The 7,783-nt window shown below is 41.3% G+C and overlaps 1 annotated feature.

Annotated features, from left to right (window-relative positions):
• Nucleotides 213-741: an enhancer, noted in NCBI's record as "NANOG hESC enhancer chr15:37528451-37528979 (GRCh37/hg19 assembly coordinates)". NCBI's record gives its function as "activates a minimal SCP1, AML or CMV promoter by ChIP-STARR-seq in naive H9 embryonic stem cells {active_cell/tissue: H9 hESC(naive)}" and the evidence as "EXISTENCE:reporter gene assay evidence [ECO:0000049][PMID:30033119]".

Raw genomic sequence — 7,783 nt, forward strand, 5'->3', positions numbered from 1 at the left:
TTTTATTTTCTGTTGTATCAATTCAAGATGTACAACATGTTTTGATATAGATATCTATAGTGAAATAATTACTACACGCTAGCCATTTAACTTATCCATCACTGTTTGCAGTTTATTTTTTTCGCCACACTCTACTTTCTAAAGGGCATGCTAAACTTCTGGAATTCGTATTTGAAGCTCCTCATAGGATTTTTTTTTTTTTTTTTTTTTTTTTTTTTTTTTTTTTGGTGAGCAACAAGGCTGTTTATTTCACCTGGGTGTAGGCAGGCTGAGTCCGAAAAGAGAGTCAGCGCAGGGAGATAGGAGTGGGACCGTTTTTTGGGTAGGTAAAGGAAAATTACAGTCAAAGGGGGATTGTTCTCTGGCGGACAGGAATGGGGGTCACAAGGTGCTCAGTAGGGGAGCTTTTGAGCCAGGATGAGCCAGGAGAAGGAATTTCACAAGATAATGTCATCAGTTAAGGCAGAAACAGGCCATTTTCACTTCTTTTGTGGTGGAATGTCATCAGTTAAGGCAGGAACCGGCCATCTGGGCATATACGTGCAGGTCACAGGGGATATGATGGCTTAGCTTGGGCTCAGAGGCATGACATTCCTGTCTTCATATATTAATAAGAAAAATAAAACAAAATAGTGGTAAAGTGTTGGGACAGCAAAAATTTTTGGGGGTGGTATGGAGAGAATGGGCGATGTTTCTCAGGGCTGCTTCGAGCAGGATTAGGGGTGGCATGGGAACCTAGAGTGGGAGAGATTAAGCTGAAGGAAGATTCTGTGGTAAGGGGTGATATTGTGGGGTTGTTAGAAGAAACATTTGTCATGTAGAATTATTGGTGATGGCCTGGATACGGTTTTGTATGAATTGAAAAACTAAACGGAATAAAAGAAGGAGAAAAACAGGTATTAAAGGACTAGGAATTGGGAGGACCTAGGACATCTAATTAGAGAGTGCCTAAGGAGGTTCAGCATAGCCTTGCCAGCAAAGATTATTTATTTACTTTGAGAGTTAAGAGTGGCAGTTTGGGGATAGCACCAGGAGATATCAGCTGTGATGGCTTGGAGAAACAGTGTAAACTGGTAGTGTAAACAAGAGCAGGGCATTTATGAGTAGTTGAGAACGGTGAATAAGAGTATGACTAGACAGAAAATAGTAGGGATGACAAGTTTTTTGGGGCACAGTCTAGGTTGGTCTAGTGTCTGGGACGAGACTGGGGCCTAATAAAAAGGAGCATCTATACAGGAGCTTAAATGGGCTGTACCTTGTAGCATTCCAAGGACAGGCCTGAATTCTGAGAATGGCAAGAGGTAAAAGTATTGTCCAGTCCTTTTTAAGTTGGAGGCTGAACTTGGTGAGGTATGTCTTTAAAAGACCATTAGTCCGTTCTACCTTTCCTGAAGATTGAGGACGGTAAGGGATATGAAGGTTCTACTGAATACTAAGAGCCTGATAAACTGCTTGGGTGATTTGACTAGTAAAGGCTGGTTTGTTATCAGACTGTATAGAGGTGAGAAGGCTAAACCAAGGAATTATGTCTGACAGAAGGGAAGAAATGACCGCGGTGGCCTTCTCAGACCCTGTGGGAAAGGCCTCTACCTATCCAGTGAAAGTGTCTACCCAGACTAAGAGGTATTTTTGTTTTCTGACTCGGGGCATGTAAGTAAAGTCAATTTGCCAGTCCTGGGCAGGGGCAAATCCTTGAGCTTGATGTGTAGGAAAGGTGGAACTGCCATCAATAAACTAAATGTGATCAGGGTGAGGAACAGGGAAGAAGGAAATATGGAGAAATGGGGTGAATGTCAGGTGGATCAGAGAGATGCAGTCATGAGGGTCAGGTGTGGTATCCAGAATAATGTGGGAGGCAGATTAAAGTCCGGGCCAGGAACAATGGTAATTGTGGGAGACTCAACAAAGAGTGAGTACAGCTGAAGGAGCCAGGGAGCAGAGCGTATATGCCTCAGGTGTGAGAAAGAAAATAGATTTTGGAAGTTATGAGAGTTGTAGAGAGTGAGTTGAGTGTGATTTTGAGGGCCTCTAAAACTATTAGGGCGGCGGCAGCCACTGCACGGAGACATGATGGCCAGCCTAAAACAGTAAGGTCAAGTTGTTTGGACAAAAAGCCTACAGGACACGATCCTGGTCCTTACATAAAAATTCTGACTGTACAGCCCTGCACTTCAGCTGTGTGTAATGAAAAGGGTTGGGATGAGTCAGGGAGAGCTAGGCAGTCTTTAAAGCTGTCTTCAAGGAACGGAAAGAGAATTGGGGAAAGGATTTAGGATCTATGGGATCAGCTAGGTTTCTTTTTGTGAGTTTATATAATGGTTTTGTTAGGATGGCAAAACCAAGTATCTAAAGTCGAAAGTATCTAACCATGCCTAGGAAGGAAAGGAGTTGTTGTTTTGTAGAAGGTGCTGGGGTTTGAGAGATCAGTCGGACATGATCAGCAGGGAGAGCACGTGTGTTTTTATGAGAATTACGCTGAGATAGGTAACAGATGAGGAAGAAATTTGGGCTTGACTGAAGTAATGGGGGCTGTCTGTGAAGCTTTGCGGCAGTACAGCCCAGGTAATTTGCTGAGCCTGATGGGTGTCAGGGTCAGTCCAAGTGAAAGCAAAGAGAGGCTGGGATGAAGGGTGCAAAGGAATAGTAAAGAAAGCATGTTTGAGATCCAGAACAGAATAATGGATTGTGGAGGGAGGTATTGAGGATAGGAGAGTATATGGGTTTGGCACCACGGGGTGGATAGGCAAAACAATTTGATTGATAAGGTGCAGATCCTGAACTAACCTGTAAGCCTTGTATGGTTTTAGGACAGGTGAAATGGGGGAATTGTAAGGGGAGTTTTTAGGCTATAAAAAGCTATGCTATAGCAGGTGAGTGATAACAGGTTTTAATCCTTTTAAAGCATGCTGTGGGATGGGATATTGGCATTGAGCGGGGTAAGGGTGATTAGGTTTTAATGAGATGGTAAGGGGTGCATGATCGGTTGCCAAGGAAGGAGTAGAGGTATCTTATACCTGTGGGCTAAAGTGGGGAGATACAAGGGGAGGATGTGAAGGAGGCTTTGAACTGGGGGAAAAGGAGGCATGTAGCCCAGGAATAGTCAGGGAAGCAGATAATTTAAAGTGTCTCAGCCTAATAAGGGAACTGGGCAGGTGGGGATAACTAAAAAGGAGTGCTTAAAAGAGTATTGTCTAAGTTGGCACCAGAGTTGGGGAGTTTTAAGAGGTTTAGAAGCCTGGCCGTCAATACCCACAACAGTTATGGAGGCAAGGGAAACAGGCCTTTGGAAAGAAGGTAATGTGGAGTGGGTAGCCTCCGTATTGATTAAGAAGGGGATGGACTTACCTTCCACTGTGAGAGTTACCCAGAGTGTCTGTGATGATCCTGTAGGCTTCCGAGGCGATTGGGCACTGTCAGTCTTCAGCTGCTAAGCCGAGAAGATCTGGGAAGGAGTCAGTCAGAGAGCCTTGGGCCAGAGTTCCAGGGGCTCTGGGAGTGGCTGCCAGGTGAGTTGAACAGTCCGATTTTCAGTGGGGTCCCACACAGATGGGACGCGGCTTAGGAGGAATCCTGGGCTGCGGGCATTTCTTGGCCCAGTGGCCAGATTTCCGGCACTTGTAGCAAGCTCCTGGGGGAGGAGGTTCTGGAGGAACCCCTGGCAGCTGCGGTTCAGGTGTTTGGAAGTTCTTGTGTGCTGGAGATGTGGCTGGGGTTTGTCTCACAGTGGAGGCAAGGAATTGCAACTCAGAAATATGTTGCTACTTGGTTGCCTTTACTCTATTATTGTACACCTTGAAGGTGGGGTTAAATAAGTTCCTGTTGTGGGGTTTGAGGGCTGGAACTTAATTTTTGGAGCTTTATTTAATGTCGGGAACAGATTGGGTAATAAAATAAAATGTATATTGAGAATAAGACGGCCTTTTGACCTTTTAGGGTCTAGGGCTGTAAAGCCTCTCAGGGTTGCTGACGAATGAGCCATGAACTGGGCTGGGTTTTTTATATTTGATGAAAAAGAGTCTAAACGCTAACTGATTCGGGAGAGGTGGGATAAAGAAAAAGGAGCATTAACCTTGACTATGCCTTTAGCTCCAGCCACCTTTTTAAGAGTAAATTGCTGGGCAGGTGGGGGAGGGCTAGTCGCGGAACCAAACTGTAAGCCAGTTGGGTGTAGAAGGGGAGGTGATAAAAGGATTATAGGGTGGAGGATCGGAGGCTGAGGAAGAATCGGGACCTAGCTCGGCCTGGTGAGGAGGGGAGAGGTCAGATGGGTCTGTAGAAAAGGAAGATTAGAAAGACTCAGCGACGCTTGGGGTTGGGACTGAGGGGACAGGCGGGAGGGAAAGAAGGAAGATTTGGGACGAGTTGCATTGGGAACAGAGACTAGACCTATGTGTAAAAGAATGCCTGGACGTCAGGCACCTCAGACCATTTGCCCATTTTACGACAAGAATTATCTAGATCTTGTAGGATGGAAAAATCGAAAGTGTCGTTTTCTGGCTATTTAGAGTCATTTTCAAGTTTGTATTGGGGCTAAGCAGTGTTGCAGAAGAAAATAAGATGCTTAGATTTTAGGTCAGGCGAGAGTTGAAGAGGTTTTAAGTTCTTAGGAACACAGGCTAAGGGAGAAGAAGGAGGAATGGAGGGAGGGTGGAATGTTGCCTATAGCGAAGGAGGCAAGTTTAAAGAAAAGGGCAGAGATACGGAGAAGGGGGTGGGGAGCAGCCAAAGCAGGTGTCCCCGCAATTGACTTGCCACTAAGGGAACATGGGTGAATGATCAAGGCAGGCGTCCCGAGGAGATCAGACACCAATGGAACGTGGGTGAACAATCACAGAGGCGTCCCTGCAGTGATTAAACACCAAGGGAAGGCTGACTTCCCGAGTCCGTGACCGGCGCCAGAGTTTTGGGTCCACAGATAAAATGTGTCTCCTTTATCTCTACCAGAAAATGAAAGGAACTGAAATGAAGAGAAGGGAGAGACTGAAGTGTGGCAACAAGATTGAAAGGAGAAAGAGGTTGAGGGATAGTGAGGGAGGCTGGAGAAGAGAGTAAAAAGAGGCCGCTTACTGGATTTAAAATTGGTGAGATATTTCTTGGGCTGGTTGGTCTGAGGACCAGAGGTCGTAGGTGGATCTTTCTCATGGAACAAAGAGCAGGAGAACAGGGGATTGATCTCCCAAGGGAGGTCCCCCGATCCGAATCACGGCACCAAATTTCATGGGCATCTGTGTGGAGACCACCAAACAGGCTTTGTGTGAGCAACAAGGCTGTTTATTTCACCTGGGTGCAGGTGGGCTGACTCCGAAAAGAGAGTCAGCCTCTTCATAGGATTTGTCTGTAACATTTGTATGTTTACTTGGGAATATTCTAGGGCCCTCCTTAGAATTACAGTTTTTGACTGATTCCATTAGCTTTTTTTTGAGAATAAAAAACTACAAGAGATATACTATTATTAAATGAATACTGGAAATACAAAACAAACTAGAAATAAGAGGAAACCTTTCCTGATTCTACCACAGAAAGACAATCGCTGCTAATGTCTGATGACTTTCCTCTTTTGTTTTTCATTCATAGACTTTTCTGGTAACGGTTTTTCAATGTTTCAAGTGTGCTCCAAATACTAATTGCTATGTCACTCTAAAAGTGTCTATTGTGTGATGAAATGGTGCAATGGTTAAGAATGCAATCTCTGGAATGAGACTGCTTTTTAAATGCTGTTTTTTTGACTTACTAAGTGTGTTTCATCTCAGGCAAGTTATTCTAACATTGCATGCCTCAGTTTTCTCATTTGTAAAATGCAAATAATAACATCCACATCTGTCATGGCTCATGCCTATAATCCCAGCACTTTGGGAGGCTTAGGCAGGAGGACTACTTAAGCCCAGTATTTCAAGACCAGCCTGGGCAACATAGTGAGATCTCATTTCTACAAAAAATATAAATAAAATTAGCTAGGCATGGTGGCACGCTTCTGTGGTCCTAGTTACTTGGGAAGTTGAGGTAGGAGGATCACTTGAGCCCAGGAGGTCGAGGTTGCAATGAGCTGTGACTGCATCACTGCACTCCAGCCTGGGCAACAGAGGGAGACTCTGTCTCAAAAAAAAAAAAATACTATCTACCTCAATAAGGTATTGTGATCATTAAATAAGTTATTGCATATGAAACACATAGAACAGTGGCTGGTGCATAGAAAATGCATGATAAGTTTTAGCTGATATTAATTAGCATGGTTTCTATATATTGGAAGGATATTTTTCCTGTAGTTTATATATTCAAAATTTTATTACAAAAGGATCTACAATGAACTCTAACAAATCAACAACAAAAAAAATCCCACCAAAAAGTGGGCTAAGGACATGAATAGACAATTTTCAAAAGAAGATATACGAATGGCCATAAAACATATGAAAACATGTTCAACATCACTAATAATCAGGGAAATGCAAATCAAAACCACAATGAGATACCCCCTTACTCCTGCAACAATGGCCATGATAAAAAATAGTAGATGTTGGTGTGTATGCAGTGAACAGGGAACACTTCTACACTGCTAGTCAGAATGTAAACTAGTACAACTACTGTGGAAAACAGTGTGGAGATTCCTTAAAGAACTAAAAGTAGAACTACCATTTGATCCAGCAATCCCACTACTGAGTGTCTACCCAGAGGAAAAGAAGTCATTATATGAAAAAAGAGACTTGCACACATGTTTATAGCAGCACAATTCACAATTGCAAAAACGTGGAAACAACCCAAATGTCCATCAGTCAAAGAATGTATAAAGAAACTGTGGTATATATCTACAAATATATGTATATATATACAAATATATATGTATATTTCTTTATACACTCTTTGATTGATGGACATTTGATTGATGGACATTTGGGTTGTTTATATATATACAAATATATATGTGTATATATATACATTTGTGTATATATATACACACATATGTATATATTCATATATACATATGTATATATACAAATATGTGTATACACTCATATATACATATGTATATATACAAATATATGTATATACATATATAGTGTTTATATCTAGATATATATCTAGATATGTAATATATTCATATGTATATAGTATATATATCTAGATATATGGTATATATCTATGTATCTATGTAATATATACATATGTGTATATGTGATATATATGTAATACAAACATATGTATATGTGTAAATACATACATATGTATATGTGTAAATACATATGTATATGTGTAAATACATACATATATAGTGTATATATCTATATAGATATATAGATCCATCATATATAGATCTATAGATCTATATATGATGTGCCACCATCTATATATATAGATAGATCTGTAGATCTATATATGATGGATCTATATATCTATATAGAAATATACATATAGATAGATCTCTATCTATATATAGATCTATAGCTATATCTATCTACATATATAGATCTATATATCTATATCTATATATAGATCTATAGCTATATCTATCTATATCTATATAGAGAGCTATATATATGATGGAATACTGCTCAGCCATAAAAAGGAATGAATTAACAGCGTTTGCAGCAACCTGGATGAGATTGGAGACTATTATTCTAAGTGAAGTAACCCAGGAATGGAAAACCAAACATCGCATGTTCTCACTCATAAGTGGGAGCTAAGCTATGAGGATGCAAAGGCATAAGAATGACACAATGGATTTTTGAGACTCAAGAGGAAATGGTGGGAAGGAGGTGAGGGATAAAAGACTACAAATAGGGTGCAGTGT

This window comes from Homo sapiens, chromosome 15 (assembly GCF_000001405.40).
Source record: "Homo sapiens chromosome 15, GRCh38.p14 Primary Assembly".
NCBI lineage: Eukaryota > Metazoa > Chordata > Mammalia > Primates > Hominidae > Homo > Homo sapiens.